Here is a 16,551-nt window from a genome sequence, read left to right on the forward strand (position 1 = left end):
GGCAGGAGGGGCTGTGCTATGTAGGGGTAGGTGGGAGGGATGAGCTGGGGAGATAAAGACAGAGCGATACCAGGCCAGGTCTGAGACAGCCCCCTGGGCTGTCACTGAGACTTTAGCTTTTTGCAGCCTACATAGCAGGGTGACTAACAACATGGTCTGTGGTGCCACACTGCCTGGGTTAGCATTCCAGCTCTGCCTTTTACTAGCTGTGAGGTGGGTTTTTTTCCTTTTTTGAGACAGAGTCTCTCTCTGTCACCTAGGCTGGAGTGCAGTGGCGCCATCTCAGCTCACTGCGACCTCTGCCTCCGGGGTTCAAGTGATTCTTCTGCCTCAGCCTCCTGAGTAGCTGGGACTACAGGCGCGCGTCACCATGCCCAGCTAATTTTTGTATTTTTAGTAGGGATGGGGTTTTACCATATTGGCCAGGCTGGTCTCAAACTCCTGACCTTGTGATTCACCCACCTTGGCCTCCCAAAGTGCTGGGATTACCAGCATGAGCCACCATGCCTGGCCTTTTTTTTTTTTTTTAAATACAGTTTCACTGTGTTCCCCAGGCTGCAGTGCACAATCACCAGTCACTGTAGCCTTGGCCTCCAGGTCTCCAGTGGTCCTCCTACTTTAGCCTCCCAAGTAGCTGGGACCACAGACATGTGTTACCACCACCAGCTAAAGTTTTTATTTATTTATTTATTTTTTGAGATGGCGTCTTTCTCTGTTGCCCAGGCTGGAGTGCAGTGGCGCTATCTCAGTTCACTGCAACCTCTGCCTCCCTGGTTCAAGCAGTTCTGTCTCAGTCTACCAAGTAGCTGGGATTATAGGTATACGCCATGATGCCCAGCTGGTTTTTGTTTTGTTTTGTTTTGTTTTTTGTATTTTTAGTAGAGATGGGGTTTCATCATGTTGGTCAGGCTGGTCTTGAACTCCTGACCTCAAGTGATTTGCCTGCCTCCCTCCATCCCACCATCCCAATTTTTTTTTTTTTTTTTTTTTTAGCTGGAGTCTCGCTCTATTGCCCAGGCTGGAGTGCAGTGGCACGATCTCGGCTCGCTGCAAGCTCCGCCTCCCGGGTTCATGCCATTCTCCTGCCTCAGCCTCCCGAGTAGCTGGGACCACGGGCGCCTGCCACCACGCCTGGCTAATTTTTTAATTTTGTTTAGTAGAGACGGGATTTCACCATGTTAGCCAGGATGGTCTCGATCTGACCTTGTGATCTGCCTGCCTTGGCCTCCCAAAGTGGTGGGTTTACAGGCGTGAGCCGCCACGCCCGGCTAACCCAATTATTTTTTATTTTTATTTATTTATTTTTTGAGGCAGAGTCTCACTCTGTTGCCCAGGCCAGAGTGCAGTGGGGCGATCTCAGCTGGGATTATAGGCTCTCGCCATCCTGCCTGGCTCATTTTTTTATTTTTAGTAGAGATGGGGTTTTGCTGTTTTGGCCAGGCTGGTCTCGAACTCCTGACCTCAAGTGATCCGCCTGCCTCAGCCTCCCAAAGTGCTGGGATTACAGGCTTGAGCCACCATGCCCAGCCAAATTTTTTTATTTTTTGAACTCCTGGCCTCAAGCAGTCCTGTTGCCTTGGCCTCCCAAAGTATTGGGATTACAGGTGTGAGCCACTGTGCCCGGTCACTAGGTGTGAGATCTTGAGTGAGCTACTTAACGGCCTTAAGGGTCCTCATCTGTCCAGTGGAGATAATAATACCTGTCCCATGGGGCTGTTGTGATCATTAAATTAGTTAAAGGACATAAATGTGGGTGAAGTAGTTGACACGGTTGATGCACAGTAAAAGCTAGTCTTTTACTTCTAAGCCATATGGGGTGAGGGGGCATTGGAGAGCTGAGCAGAGGAAGCCTGAGATCTTACTTAGGTTCCCAAAGGCTGTCCTGGCTGCCATGTTGAGACTACAGCAAGGATGGAAACAGGCCAGTCTGGATTCTGCTGTACTAAGCCAGGTAAAAGATGGTGGTGGTGTAGGCTAGATATGTTTGAAGAGAGTTGATGGGGTTTGCTGATGGATTGATTTGATGTGGGCATGCAAGAAATAGAAGAATGTGGGAGGATAAGGTTGGTGAATTGGAGGCAAACTGGTATTTAATTTTAGACATGTTTCTCTCGTGTGTGTGTGTGTTTTGTTTTGTTTGTTTGTTTGTTTGTTTTGAGACAAAGTCTCTGTTGCCCATGTTGGAGTGCAGTGGTCAGATTACAGCTCACTGCAGCCTTGACCGCCTAAGCTCAGGTGATCCTCCCCTCCTAAGCCTCCCAAGTAGCCAGGACTACAAAGGCGTGCCACCATGTCCAACTAATTTTTGTATTTGTAGTGGAGACGGGGTTTTGCCATGTTGTCCAGGCTGGTCTCAAACTCCTGGGCCCAAGCAATCCACCCTCCTTGGCTTCCCAAAGTGTTGGGATTACAGGCGTGAGGCACCATGCCTGTCCGACATGTTACGTTTTAAGATGCCTATTCAAGATCTAAGTGGAGATGTTGACTAGGCACTTGGATATACAAAGCTGGAATTCAGACAAGGAAGTTTGGGCTAGAGAGGAAAAGTTGGGAGTTATCAGTATGTATATGTTTATATATTTGTGATTTTTTTTTTTTTTTTTTTTTTTTTTTTTGAGATAGAGTTTTGCTCTTGTTGCCCAGGCTGGAGTGCAGTGCCTTGAATACTGAATTAGTGAATATTGAACCATTGCTCCTAGGGGAAATACAGGGTTAGGTTCCTGCAAGCCTCTGGTCATATTTTGTTCAACCAATCAATATATAACCGATCACTTGTTTTATGTGTGTATCTGTTTGGAGACAACTTACTTGACATAATATTGTTGAATCATTAACAGTGAAGTCAGCCAGGCGCAGTGGCTCACGCCTGTAATCCCAGCACTTTGGGAGGCCGAGGCGGGCGGATCATGAAGTCAGGAGATCAAGACCATCCTGGCTAACACAGTGAAACCCCGTCTCTACTAAAAATACAAAAAATTAGCCAGGCATGGTGGCAGGCGCCTGTAGTCCCAGCTACTCGGGAGGCTGAGGCAGGAGAATGGCGTGAACCTGGGAAGTGGAGCTTGCAGTGAGCCGAGATCGCGCCACTGCACTCCAGCCTGGGCGACAGCAAGACTCTGTCTCAAAAAAAAAAAAAAAAAAAAAACTCAGGGCCAACAGCACTATAATTCGTGTCTGAATGAAGCTTATCTAACACCTCCCATAGTTCTTGCACTTAGCAACACTAGAAAGCACTTCAGTACTACACGTGGGGACCCAAGAAAATGTACAAAAATGAAAAAAATGTGGCACTAACTGCATCACGAGAAAGCCTTGTTTAGTGTGTGTCAAGCAACTCAATATTCTTGCCACTCTTAATTTTGATTTGAAAGTACCACAAATACTGATTTGGGGGTTACAGATAAATTTTAGTGAGTAGGCAGATTCACAGATAAAGACTGAACAGTGAAGACTATTTGCATTGAGTGTATATTTTATGTTATGTTATGTTATTTTTGAGATGGAGTCTCACTCTGTCACCCAGGCTGGGGTGCAGTGGCGTGATCTTGGCTCACTGCAACCTCTGCCTCCCGGGTTCAAATGATTCTTGTTCCTCAGCCTCCCGAGTAGCTGGGACTACAGGCATGCACCATCACGCCCGGCTAATTTTTGTATTTTTAGTAGAAACAGGGTTTCACCATGTTGACCAGGCTGGTCTTGAACTCCTGACCTCAGGTGATCCACCCGTCTCGGCCTCCCAAAGTGCTGGAATTACAGACGTGAGCCACCACGCCTGGCCTGAGTGTATTTATTTTACATATTTATATTTGAACTGAAACTTTTATGAACCATTTTATTTAATGCATTCTGATATTTTATATTATTTCATTTTAATTTTTTTCCAAACAAAACTTCTCACATATTTATTATTGAACCAACCTACTATTGTAGAGCTTATAATCAGAGAAAAACCATTTTCTCAACAAAGTATGTCCACCTTTCCAGATAGTGGTGACAGTTTCAGCTTGATGTGATAAGATGATAGTCTTACGTGTAGACTCATCTCATGTGTAATTCCTGGCAGACCCAGCTTGGTTCTTCTCCAGTCCCTCCTCTTGGGGTTGTAGCTAACTGTATTAGCAATTTTGTTTTATTTTGTTTTGTTTTGTTTTTTTGAGATGGAGTCTCACTCTGTCATCCAGGCTGGAGTGCAGTGGCACAATCTCAGCTCACTGCAACCTCCGCCGCCCAGATTCAAGCGATTCTCCTGCCTTAGCCTCCCAAGTAGCTGGGACTACAGGCGCCTGCCACCACGCCTGGCTAATTTTTTGTATTTTTAGTAGAGATGGGGTTTCACCATGTTAACCAGGATGGTCTCGATCTTCTGACTTTGTGATCTGCCCGTCTTGGCCTCCCAAAGTGCTGGGATTACAGCTGTGAGCCACCACGCCCAGCCCTGTATTACCAGTTTTAATCTGAATCCACTGGTGAATGGGACGATTTTGCTTTTGTTTCTTGGCCAGGAATTGCATGATCCTGGACATTTTGTGAGAAGATGGTGGGAGAAATAATCAACAGCACACACCATGATGGTGGAGAAGGGGTGGGGGGAAGCAGGTAGAGGAACATGTTTTTCTGTTTCTTTCATTTTTGAAAAGCTGGGGCTGAGCGTGGTGGCTCACGCCTGTAATCCCAACACTTTGGGAGGCCGAGGCGGGGAATCACTTGAGGTCAGGAGTTCGAGACCAGCCTGGCCAATATGGTGAAACCCCATCTTTACTAAAAACACAAAAATTAGCTGGGCGTGATGGCATGCGCCTGTAATCTCAGCTACTCGGGAGGTTGAGACAGGAGAATCGCTTGAACCCGGGAAGTGGAGGTTGCAGTGAGCCGAGATTATGCCATTGCACTCCAGCCTGGGCAACAAGAGGGGAACTCTGGAAAAAAAAAAAAAAAAGGTGGTCACAGGCTATAATGGACTACAGCTGGCTGTTTGAAAAACATAGTGGAGGTGACAAAGCCATGAGATTGGATGTGATAGATTACTTCTGGAGGGAAAGAGCCATCATTCTTCCCAGGGCAGACTCAGGTGCAGAAAGAAGCCTGTGTGTGAAGAGTTAAAAAGCCAAAGTGTGGGGTGAGGGGACTGGCCTCCTCACGCCTCGGCAGGGCCAGGCCTCCTGCCAATGCTTATGGGCCCGGATCTCCTCCCAGGTGACCATCTTGGTGCTGCAGGGCCGGCTGGATGAGGCCCGACAGATGCTCTCCAAGGAAGCCGATGCCAGCCCCGCCTCTGCAGGCATATGCCGAATCATGGGGGACCTGATGAGGACAATGCCCATTCTTAGTGTACGTGGGGGTAGCTTTGCTCTGCTGGGTCACAGGAGATGCGTGATTCACTAAATATAAAGGGTGTGGATGGGATGACGTCTCATGGCTGGTCTCTCCCTTAGCCCGGGAACACCCAGACACTGACAGAGCTGGAGCTGAAGTGGCAGCACTGGCACGAGGAATGTGAGCGGTACCTCCAGGACAGCACATTCGCCACCAGCCCTCACCTGGAGTCTCTCTTGAAGGTCTGGGAAGCAGTTCAGATTGCATCCATGTTGGCTTCCTATGGGGGCTGTGGCATCCAGTGCAGCAGTGGCAGGAGCTTGGTCCTCCTTGGATAGGGCTGTCTGTCGCTCTGCCGTGATGGCGAGAGCTTTCAGACTAGTTGAAATCCGGTGCCCTTAGCTGAGAGCAGGAGCATTATGGAGAAGGTACCCCTGAGAGGAGGACAGAGTTCAGCACAAATGTCTCTCCTCAGATTATGCTGGGAGACGAAGCTGCCTTGTTAGAGCAGAAGGAACTTCTGAGTAATTGGTATCATTTCCTAGTGACTCGGCTCTTGTACTCCAATCCCACAGTAAAACCCATTGATCTGCACTACTATGCCCAGGTGAGTGAGCTCGGGGTGGGCAAGGGTGGGGGTAGGAGTCCTGGGGGCGCCCTGATGGGTCATTCTCTTTGAATTCCTCCCTGAGGAACAGGAAGACCCTTTCCTTTGGCCCTTAGTGAAAGAACAAGGCACCTTCTCTGGGGTTCGTTATACAGCAGCCCTGCCTGCCCCGAGTCTCTGCTTCCGTCCTCAGGATTGAGTGTCTCATCACCTTTCCACAGTCCAGCCTGGACCTGTTTCTGGGAGGTGAGAGCAGCCCAGAACCCCTGGACAACATCTTGTTGGCAGCCTTTGAGTTTGACATCCATCAAGTAATCAAAGAGTGCAGGTAGGATCTCTCCCACCCCCCACTGTAACCATTTTTAGGTGTACAAATATCACCACCTTGCGTTTCTAGAGTGGCCTGTTCCTTCCTTACCCTTCTTCCCTCAGACCTGCTATCTTAGTCCATCTCACGCTGATATTACAGAATACCTGAGACCAGATAATTTATAAAGAAAAAGATTATTTTCTCACCGTTCTGGAGGCTAGGAAGTCCAGGATCAGGGCACTGGCAATGTTGCTGGTGAGGGCTGCTCTCTGCTTCCAACATGGCACCTTGAACACTGTGTTCTCATGTGGTGGAAGGGCAAGAAGGACAAACTCCCTTCATCAAGTCGCTTTATAAGGGCACCCAATCACATTCATGAGGGAGGATGTGGCCTAATCACCTCCTGGCCTAATCACCTCTTAGAGGCCCTACCTCTTAATACTATCACATTGGCAAAACTGGGGTTTTAGAGGGGATCCCTTCAAACCATAGCATCTGCTCCCCTGCTTGACTTGCCACAGGTAGATAATGGCTTTTCTCTGGGTGAGCTTAGGGACTTCCTGGAGGCTTGAGGGCTACCATATACATAACTGTTTCCATTTCAGGGATGTTCATTTAAAATAACATCGCGGGAAACTACTTTGACATTTAAAATCTAGAAAAAGCCAGCAAGCCTGTTTCTTGGCACCTAATGGACACCTTATGGGATGGCGTGTTCCAAGAGTCTCACTCCAGTGACGTGAGCTACCGAACCACTGGGCTTCAGGCTGGGTATTATTCAGAATTTCCAGCCCTCTATCCAAAAGAGGGTGTTCTATGATTGCACTGAATCTTTAGCAAGGCAGGAAAGGGAGTGCCAAACATAATCAATCAAAGGTAAACCTTTCCAGAACTCTCCATATATGGTAAGTCAGAAAGAAGGTCCCCTTCCTTGTTGTGCACCCTGGATGGTGGGCATTGCACTGAAGACGTGCTGGGAAGGGAGGAAGTGGGTAATGGCAGAAGATGGCCTTGATCAGGTGTCAGATTCACTGACCTCAACTGGCTGTTTGTAGATCTGGGCATGGGAAGAGTTTCCTTCGCCCTACCTGCTTTTCTTGTTTTGGCCAAAAGAATGCCAGGGCTTCAAGAAAATGATACTAGATTTGGGGAATGAAAAACAAGTTTTTTGTGTGTTTGTTTCTGGGTTTTTTTTTTTTTTTTTTTTTTTTTTGAGACAGAGTTTTGCTCTTGTCACCCAGACTGGAGTGCAGTGGCGTGATCTTGGCTCACTGCAACCTCCACCTACTGGGTTCCAGCAATTCTACTGCCTCAGTCTCCCAAGTAGCTGGGATTACAGGTGTCCGTCACCACGCCCAGCAAATTTTTGTGTTTTTCAATAGAGACAGGGTTTCACCATGTTGCCTAGGCAGGCTGGTCTGGAACTCCTGACCTCAGGTCATCTGCCCATCTCGGCCTCCCAAAGTGCTGGGATTACAGGCGTGAGCCACCGCGCCCTGCCAAGTTTTTTTTTTTTGAAACAGGGTCTCACTTTGTCACCCGGGCTGGAGTGCAGTGGAGTGATCTCAGCTCACTGCAGCCTTGACCTCCTGGGTTCAAGTGATCCTCTTGCCTCAGCCTTCCAGGTAGCTAGGACTACAAGTGTGCGCCACCATGCCTGGCTAATTATTATTTTTTTTTTTGGAGAGATGAGGTTTCACTATGTTGCCCAAGCTGTTCTTGAACTTGTGAGCTCAAGCGATCTGCCTGTCTTGGCCTCCCACAGTGCTAGGATTACAGGCGTAAGCCACCATGCCCGGCCTGAAAGTCAAGTTTTGTGTCAATATTTTCACAGGCCTGTAAACATTGTGAGAAGTCCCTGCATGGAAGAATTAGTGAGAATAACTTAAAAACACACAAACACACCATCGTTTGGCTTTGTTGGTGTCTCTGCCCATAGTTGAGTATTCTAAATTTCCTGTGTTATAACAGTGAGTGAGTTTCACCAGGGCTTCCTAATTTATAAGCCCTGTATCTGGATTTTTAGGAATAAAACAGATTTGAGCAGAAGAAGTCTGTTGGATGCAGGGAGTATAAAAGGGGAAAGCATCCTGCTGTTTCCAGTGGCAGAAGAGAAAGAGAAGTACCATGAAGAGGGGTGAACAACATCACTCTCGTGCCGGACACAGACAAGGAATGATTAGGCTTGCAGTCCCCCAGTCTCAGCCTCTCTCCACTCTCACAAGCAGGAAGGGATCTGAGCTCTGTTAGTGGGAAATCTTGGAGTTTGCATTTCTCTGATCACGAGGCTACCTCCTATCCTGTTTTGAAAGAGGAACAGAAAAGCAGAGCTTGTCCCAGGAATTGTGAAATGGGCTGCAATGTCTTCAGAGGCAGTAGCAGTTTTAGGAAGTGTGCCCTCCTGGCTCTGGGGAAAGGTTGAATTGGGGTCTTGTGGGCACTTGTTTTCTCATGGGATGTATCAGTCAGACCCATGCACAGTTCTGGGCGGCAGGGAAGTGTGTCTCTTTCTGGACTTGAGCCAGTGAGCTGTTGGCATGCCTTTTTAAAGGCATTAGAAAAAAGGTTTCTTTCTTTTTTTTCCTTTCCTGTTCACACCACCTTCATATGAACATGGAGAAGGGAGGTTTCTAAGTGGGCCCCTGATTTACTCCTATGTCAATAATCGTGCCAGACCCTAAGGGGCAGAAAAGGCAGCCAGGGGATCCTGACTCAGAGGCTGTAGTTCGTCAGCCCTGCTAAAGGGCCAGGGGTTTGTCTCTCAGTGCCTGGGTGGGCATGCTTGACTGCTAACCCCTTAGCTGAAAGGAGATGGCAGGAGTCCTCCACAGGGTCCCTTCTTCCCTCCTGGCTTACAGCTTCCTCTGAAGACGGGCCAGTTCCTTGCTGTCTGGCAAGAGGAAACAGCTGGGGTGCACTTCACTGGGAGTTGGGCAAGATGTCGGCAGTTTCCTGGTGCCCTTCAAGTCCTCCAAAAGTATCGAGCTAAAAGGTGACAAGTCTTCCTTCAATAACCAAGAAGAGTTCCAGCTTAATGTCTGCTGAATCTAGAATCTTCTGACTTGTATTTTGGCCCAGCCCACAATCTTGGATGCAGGGTGCAGCAGTGTTTACAAACCTCACACCCCATTTCCAGAATAGCAGGTAGAGGCACTGGAGCTTTGATTACTCCAGAGCCCCCAACAAGCAAGATGGGGCCTGGGTAAGGAGTTGACAGTGACCTTAGTACAGGACAAACAGCTCATTTGGGGCTACAGTTGCTTAGAGGGGTCACCTTCACCGTAGCTGGTCTTCCCAACTCCGCAGCGTTCTCTCGTTTTCAGCAGAGGGCTACTTTGGAGCTGATAATTAGGCCTTTCTTGCCTTGAATGTTAAGGATGCCCACCTGCTCTGTGTCTCGGCTGCTCACTCAGAATCCTTCAGAGTGAGAGAGAGACAGAGTGAGAGTGGGAGTGTGTGCGTGTGTGATCTAAGACCTAACTGTGTGGTTCAGGCCTGCTGGGCCCTGTAGAGAGACCGTGGTGGCTTTGTGCAGCACTATGTCTGGTCTCCGTCACTTGAGTTGTGTTGTTAGTTCTCTGCTCTCAGTGCTTGCTGCCTTCCAGCCTTGGAGGCTGCTGGATCCTTTGGGAAGACACCGGGCACTGTCTCAGCCCTTCCTTCCAGTTGTTGGTGGCTTTCGTGCAGGCTAAGGCTTTGGCTCCCTTAGCCTGGGTCCCCTATAGCCTTTTCACTGGCTTCTCCAATGGTTTCGACATAACCATCAGCTAGAAATCTGGGTAGCAACAGCTGTTTTGGGAAGCTGAGGTGTCCTTTCCCCTGGCCCAGCCCACTCCCTCCCATTTTTTTCCCCAGCTTTATTGAGGTGTGATTAACAAAGTAGTATGTATTTAAGGTGTACAAAATTTTTTTTTTTTTTTTGGAGACAGAGTCTTGCCCTGTCACTCAGGCTGGAGTGCAGTGGCACGATCTCAGCTCACTGCAGCCTCTGCCTCCTGGGCTCAAGCGATCTTCTGCCTCAGCCTTCCGAGTAGCTGGGACCACAGGCACACGCCACCACGCCCAGCTAACTTTTGTATTTTTGGTGGAGATGGGGTTTTGCCATTTTGGCCAGGCTGGTCTTGAACTCCTGAGCTCAAGTGATCCACCCGCCTCGGCCTTTCAGTGTTGGGATTACAGGAATGAGCCACTGCACCCGGCCAAGGTGTACAACATGTTTTTTGTTTTTTTTTTTTTTTGAGATGGAGTCTCACTTTGTCGCCCAGGCCGGAGTACAATGGCGCGATCTCGTCTCACTGCAAGCCCCGCCTCCTAGGTTCACGCCATTCTCCTGCCTCAGCCTCCAGAGTAGCTGGGACTACAGGTGTCCGCCACAACATCCGGCTAATTTTTTGTACTTTTTGTAGAGATGGGGTTTCACCGTGTTAGCGAAGATGGTCTTGATTTCCTGACCTCATGATCCTCCCACCTCGGCCTCCCAAAGTGCTGGGATTACAGGTGTGAGCTACCGCGCCCGGCCAACAACATGTTTTGATAGATGTATACATTGTGAAATTAAGCTAGTGACATCTGTCACCTCACATAGTGACCCTTTTGGTGTGCGTGTGGTGAGAACATTCAAAAGCTACTTTCTAGCTGGGTGTGGTAGCGCATGCCTGTAATCTCAGCTACTGAAGAGGCTGAGGCATGAGAATTGCTTGAACCTGGGAGGCAGAGGTTGCAGTGAGTCGAGATCTCACCAGTGCACTCCCGTCTGGGTGACAGAGCAAGACTCCACCTCAACTACTTTCTGAGCGATTTTTTTTTTTTTGAGATATGGTTGTGCTCTCTCACCCAAGTTGGAGTGCGGTGGCGTGATCTCGGCCGATTGCAGCCTCTGCTTCCCAGGCTCAAGCAATACTCCCACCCCAGCTTCTCGAGTAGCTGGGATTACAGGTGTGTGCCACCATGCCTGGCTAATTTTTGTATTTGTAGAGATGGGGTTTTGCCATGTTGCCCAGGCTGGTCTTAAATTCCTGGACTCAGGTGATCTGCCTGCCTTGGCCTCCCAAAGTACTGGGATCACGGGCATGAGCTATCATCACGCCCGGCCCCATCTCTTTGAGGGACAGGACATGTGGGGTTTCTTGCTCACCCCCACTCTTGTGGGACGCGGCCTGTGCCCTGATTTTCCTTCTTGCCTTGGTGTCTGAATCTGCAGCATCGCCCTGAGCAACTGGTGGTTTGTGGCCCACCTGACAGACCTGCTGGACCACTGCAAGCTCCTCCAGTCACACAACCTCTAGTAAGTGGCCGGGAGGCACCGATCCTCCTCTTCTTACCACCAGGCCCCCGAGGGTGGTGTGAACTGAATGCCTGAAAGGGAGGTTGGGCTAAGGGGGCCCTGAACAGGGCAGGCCAGGAGTCTTGGTCTTTTGTTATGTTTTATTCCAGTTTCGGTTCCAACATGAGAGAGTTCCTCCTGCTGGAGTACGCCTCGGGACTGTTTGCTCATCCCAGGTAGGAAGGACCCCATGGGTGTGGGCTATGCGGGTGCTCTTCAGCATGCGGGTGCCATTGGAGCTTGGACTGTTCTCTCCCAGTTGGCTCCTTGAAGGCTTCGGAAGGGTCAGTGAAAGGGAGCTGTAGGTGCCAGTCCTCGGAGCCATGAGGCAGCACCTCATGTCTGTCCTCCTCGAACCTTTGCAGCCTGTGGCAGCTGGGGGTCGATTACTTTGATTACTGCCCCGAGCTGGGCCGAGTCTCCCTGGAGCTGCACATTGAGCGGATACCTCTGAACACCGAGCAGAAAGCCCTGAAGGTGCTGCGGATCTGTGAGCAGCGGCAGATGACTGAACAAGGTGAGCTGGCCCTGCTCCCAGCCTACTGTCTGTGGGACGCAGGAGTCAGGGGATCCTGAGGTCACACTTTATGCCTACCCCAGCCATCCTCCTCCTCACGAGCCACACTGGAGACGTGGGGCTGTGGACGCCAAGAGGTAAACTAAGAGATGGGATAATTACTTGGGAGGGACAGGAAAGCTAGGGATCCACTGGAACCCAGACAAAATCTACACGCCATCTGGAAAGGCCTGAGCCGCCCCTTTTCTCACACACTTGATTCCACGAGGTCAGGGCTGGGGTTGGCGCTGTTTCCCTGTCCAGGTGGGTTGCTATTGCTAGCTCAGCCTGGCTCAATGGGGAAGCAGTGCTGGAGGTGGCTCCAGAAAAGCAGAGAGAGTGGAATGAGGATGACCAAGTCTGCCCCTTCATTTCTCCCCTCACTGTTGAGTAATGTAAACATGAGTTATTACCCTGCAGAGAGGCAGTTGCATGTTCACGACCATTTCTGAAAGCATATGGTATTCACGATCCACAGGAAGATGTGATTTGAGGCATCTGGAGAGGTAATAGAAGAGCTGACACGTAGGGAGAAACACGTAGGGAGAAAAAAAATAGAAGAGCTGACATGTAGGGAGCAACGTTTTGCTCCCCTTGAAGCCACACACACTCATAGAGCCAGTCTTGCCGTGATGGGCACTTACACTCTTAGCAGATCCCAGACACTGTTAATCAGCCGAGTTTCCAGCTCTGCCGATCCAGCTGCATTTAGAGCCCAAAGAGTGGCTCTGCGGTGGAGTGAGGCTGTGAGGCCACTCCGGTCCCCACAGGGCTCAGGAATGGAGTGATTTGTGGAGTGAAAGCCGTTTACCTTTTCTTTTCCCCTGCAAAGTTCGCAGCATTTGTAAGATCTTAGCCATGAAAGCCGTCCGCAACAATCGCCTGGGTTCTGCCCTCTCTTGGAGCATCCGTGCTAAGGATGCCGCCTTTGCCACGCTCGTGTCAGACAGGTGGGTGCCGCTAGTGTTGGCTTCCCAGGGACTGGGTGGTTGAGGTGGGCCTGAGACTGCTGCTCTGATCTCTGGGCCGGGCCCTGCAGGTTCCTCAGGGATTACTGTGAGCGAGGCTGCTTTTCTGATTTGGATCTCATTGACAACCTGGGGCCAGCCATGATGCTCAGTGACCGACTGACATTCCTGGGTGAGTCTCTGGGTTTTGTGCCCTGTGCTTTGGGCACAAGTGGGTAGTTGGGGAGGTTGGAGGGATCACGTCAGACTTCTCCCAGCGCTTCCTTCATGTATTCCCATTGCATCAGTGGTCCCAGAAACATCCTCCGTCATGTCCAGGATCATGAGTTTGGCTGTCACATCTCCTTAGTGCCTCCATGTTTGTTTGTTTGTTTGTTTGTTTTTCTTTCTTTCTCTCTTTCTTTCTCTTTCTCTTTCTCTTTCTTTCTTTCTTCTTTTCTTTTATTTTTTCTTTTTTTTTTTTTTTGAGACAGAATCTTACTCGCTCTGTGGCCCAGGCTGCCAGGCTCACTGCAACCTCCACCTCCTGACTTCAAGCAATTCTCGTGCCTCAGCCTCCCAAGTAGCTGGGATTACAGGCACGCGGAACCACACCTGGCTAATTTTTGTATTTTATTTATTTATTTTTTGGGGACAGAGTCTCACTCTGTCACCCGGGCTGGAGTGCAGTGGCGTGATCTCGGCTCACTGCAACCCCCGCCTCCCGGGTCCAAGCAATTCTCCTGCCTCAGCCTCCCAAGTAGCTGGGACTACAGGCGCACGCCACCACACCCAGCTAATTTTTTGTATTTTTAGTAGAGATGGGGTTTCACCGTGTTAGCCAGGATGGTCTTGATCTCCTGACCTTGTGATCCGCCTGCCTCGGCCTCCCAAAGTGCTGGGATTACAGGCGTGAGCCACTGCGCCCCGCCTAATTTTTGTATTTTTAGTAGAGATGGGGTTTCACCATGTTGGTCAGGCTGGTCTGGAACTCCTGACCTCAAGTGATCCGCCCGCCTCGGCCTCCCAAAGTGCTGGGATTACAGGTGTGAGCTACTGTGCCTGGCCAGTGCCTCCATGTTTCTTCTTTTTTTTTTTTTTTTTGAGACGGAGTCTCACTCTGTCGCCCACGCTGGAGTGCAGTGGTACAATCTTGGCTCACTGCAACCTCCACCTCCCGGGTTCAAGCCATTCTTCCTCCTCAGCCTCCTGAGTAGCTGGGACTACAGGTGCATGCCACCATACCCGGCTAATTTTTGTATTTTTAGTAGAAATGGGGTTTCACCATGTTGGCCAGGTTGGTCTCAAACTCCTGACCTCAGGTGATCCACCTGACTCGGCCTCCCAAAGTGCTGGGGTTACAGGCATAGGCATGAGCCACCACGCCTGGCCTAGTCAATCTCTTTTAATCCATGACTCTTGTTATGTATTTTGACTCTGATGTTTCCCCAGATTTGGCTCTTCGGAGTTCTTCCAAGTCTGTTTTGAATGCTCTTGGTCTGCATCTCATTGGGACCTATGAGTTTGGAGACAGAAAAAAATCTCCTGCTTTGTGGAGTGGCTGGTCTGAGGTTTTTCTTCTCCTGTTTAGGGCCAGGGTGACTTTTGTAGGTGTCACTTGGGCAATTTGGGGGAATATGCAGGTTACTCAGTGCTCTTGTTTCGCCATAGGAAAGTATCGCGAGTTCCACCGTATGTACGGGGAGAAGCGTTTTGCCGACGCAGCTTCTCTCCTTCTGTCCTTGATGACGTCTCGGATTGCCCCTCGGTCTTTCTGGATGACTCTGCTGACAGACGCCTTGCCCCTTTTGGAACAGAAACAGGTGAAGGTTGCAGCAGCAGTGGTTTTCTTTGCTTGTCAGTCCCTGCTAGAGCTTAGTTGTATAGCTGTTGCCGATGTGCGTGTTTCCTCCTTTGTCGTTCTGCCTGTGCGCGTGTATTCCCCTTAGCGCCCTCTCTGGGATTCCAGACTCACACAGGAAACAAACACTGCTTGATTTGAAATGAGGTATTCGTATACAAAGCACACTATTGCGAAGGGTATGAAAGGAAGAACGTCCGAACATGGGCCCCTGCCCCAACCAATGCAGGCCAGGGCTGGGGGCAGCCAAGCAAGGCAGGCTCTCTTCCCTAGGTGATTTTCTCAGCAGAACAGACTTATGAGTTGATGCGGTGTCTGGAGGACTTGACGTCAAGAAGACCTGTGCATGGAGAATCTGATACCGAGCAGCTCCAGGTCATTTTCACTTTTGGGTTGATGGTTCCACATGGAGGTGGGAAAAGGCTCCCTCTATCTCAGGCTTCCCCTTCCCTCCAGAAACACTGGCTCCTATGGACACATGTGCCTCTGTTCCCCTTAACCTGTGTAATTCACACACCACCTTCTTTTAGGAGAAAATCAGGGATTCTAGTGTTCTCATCTCTACATTTTGTTCTTTGCTGTTCATCATTTCCAGTATGGCCCTTTGGTATTGCTTTCTTTTACATCGATAATTTGCTGGAAGCTACTATGAATGTTAAGTGCCCTCTACCTTTGGATTAGCTAGACCCTTCGGGAGTGTGAAAGGGCTCCTTCCTGCTCTTAGCTCATGCTGGCGCTCTCTGCTTTGCAGGATGATGACATAGAGACCACCAAGGTGGAAATGCTGAGACTTTCTCTGGCACGAAATCTTGCTCGGGCAATTATAAGAGAAGGCTCACTGGAAGGTTCCTGAGAACTGCTTCAATGTGGTATCTTTGTATGGCAATGTATATAGATTTTTTTAAAAGAATAAATGTTGTTTTGCAAATGTAGGTTCTTAGAGTCCACCCAGGGAATTTTTTATCTGTCTAGTCTGAACCTGAGGTGGTAAGAGATTAAAAAATGCTTGTTTTATGTTCTTTTTTTTTTGAGACGGAGTCTTGCACTGTTGCCTGGCCTGGAGTGCAATGGCACGATCTCAGCTCACTGCAACCTCCGCCTCCAGGGTTCACGTGATTCTCCTGCCTCAGCCTCCCAAGTAGCTGGGATTATAAGTGCACACCATACCCAGCTAATTTTTTTGTATTTTTAGTAGAGATGGGGTTTCACTGTGTTGGCCAGACTGATCTCAAACTCCTGACCTTGTGATCTGCCCGCCTTGGCCTCTCACAGTGCTGGGATTACAGGCGTGAACCACCACACCCGGCCTTGTTTTATGTTCTGATACGCAACTGTCTTCCTGTGCCTCCTTAGATAAGAAATCACCCCCCAGGTCGGGTGCAGTGGCTCACGTCCTGTAATCCCAGCACTTTGGGAGGATCCCTCAACCCCAGGAGTTTGAGACCAACCTGGGCAACATAGGGAGACTCCATCTCTGTTTAAAAAAAAAAAAAAAAAAAACCCCAAAGTTGTGGTGACTGCAGTGTCTTGGAAGTCTGAACAAGAACGCTTGGTGGTATACTTGTGCTTCTGAAATCTTGCCTCACCTCTTCTGGAACACTTAACATTTTGGTTATTTAGTTCCCTTAAAATAT

At 49.4% G+C, this 16,551-nt stretch overlaps 1 protein-coding gene across 13 annotated transcripts in view, besides 3 other annotated features; it reads left to right on the forward strand.

Annotated features, from left to right (window-relative positions):
• Window positions 1-15,849, forward strand: part of NUP85 (nucleoporin 85) — a 30,080-nt gene extending 14,231 nt beyond the window's left edge. For 3 of the 13 annotated variants that reach the window (NM_024844.5, NM_001303276.2, XM_047436777.1), the window contains 12 exons: window positions 5,194-5,328; window positions 5,433-5,555; window positions 5,789-5,920; window positions 6,142-6,248; window positions 11,431-11,514; window positions 11,664-11,729; window positions 11,919-12,070; window positions 12,942-13,059; window positions 13,149-13,249; window positions 14,728-14,879; window positions 15,191-15,292; window positions 15,669-15,849. In NM_024844.5, the coding sequence (NP_079120.1) occupies window positions 5,194-5,328; window positions 5,433-5,555; window positions 5,789-5,920; window positions 6,142-6,248; window positions 11,431-11,514; window positions 11,664-11,729; window positions 11,919-12,070; window positions 12,942-13,059; window positions 13,149-13,249; window positions 14,728-14,879; window positions 15,191-15,292; window positions 15,669-15,770 (1,374 nt within the window). In that variant the 3' untranslated portion in view covers window positions 15,771-15,849. Of the gene's footprint in view, window positions 1-5,193; window positions 5,329-5,432; window positions 5,556-5,788; window positions 5,921-6,113; window positions 6,250-6,835; window positions 9,223-11,430; window positions 11,515-11,663; window positions 11,730-11,918; window positions 12,071-12,941; window positions 13,060-13,148; window positions 13,250-14,727; window positions 14,880-15,190; window positions 15,294-15,668 lie in introns of those variants that run through there. The other 10 variants (NM_001330472.2, XM_047436776.1, XM_047436779.1 and 7 more) reach the window with 10 other exon arrangements.
• Window positions 4,781-5,282: an enhancer, noted in NCBI's record as "H3K4me1 hESC enhancer chr17:73220785-73221286 (GRCh37/hg19 assembly coordinates)". NCBI's record gives its function as "activates a minimal SCP1, AML or CMV promoter by ChIP-STARR-seq in primed H9 embryonic stem cells {active_cell/tissue: H9 hESC(primed)}" and the evidence as "EXISTENCE:reporter gene assay evidence [ECO:0000049][PMID:30033119]".
• Window positions 5,546-6,745: an enhancer, noted in NCBI's record as "CDK7 strongly-dependent group 2 enhancer chr17:73221550-73222749 (GRCh37/hg19 assembly coordinates)". NCBI's record gives its function as "activates an origin of replication core promoter dependent on BRD2, BRD4, P300/CBP, MED14 and CDK7 cofactors, with strong dependence on CDK7, by STARR-seq in HCT116 cells {active_cell/tissue: HCT116}" and the evidence as "EXISTENCE:reporter gene assay evidence [ECO:0000049][PMID:35650434]".
• Window positions 14,742-14,905: a silencer, noted in NCBI's record as "fragment chr17:73230746-73230909 (GRCh37/hg19 assembly coordinates)". NCBI's record gives its function as "represses an EF-1alpha promoter that drives an FKBP-Casp9 reporter gene in an ReSE screen in K562 erythroleukemia cells {active_cell/tissue: K562}" and the evidence as "EXISTENCE:reporter gene assay evidence [ECO:0000049][PMID:32094911]".
• Window positions 15,850-16,551: the final 702 nt, after the last annotated feature.

This window comes from Homo sapiens, chromosome 17, assembly GCF_000001405.40.
Source record: "Homo sapiens chromosome 17, GRCh38.p14 Primary Assembly".
Lineage (NCBI taxonomy): Eukaryota > Metazoa > Chordata > Mammalia > Primates > Hominidae > Homo > Homo sapiens.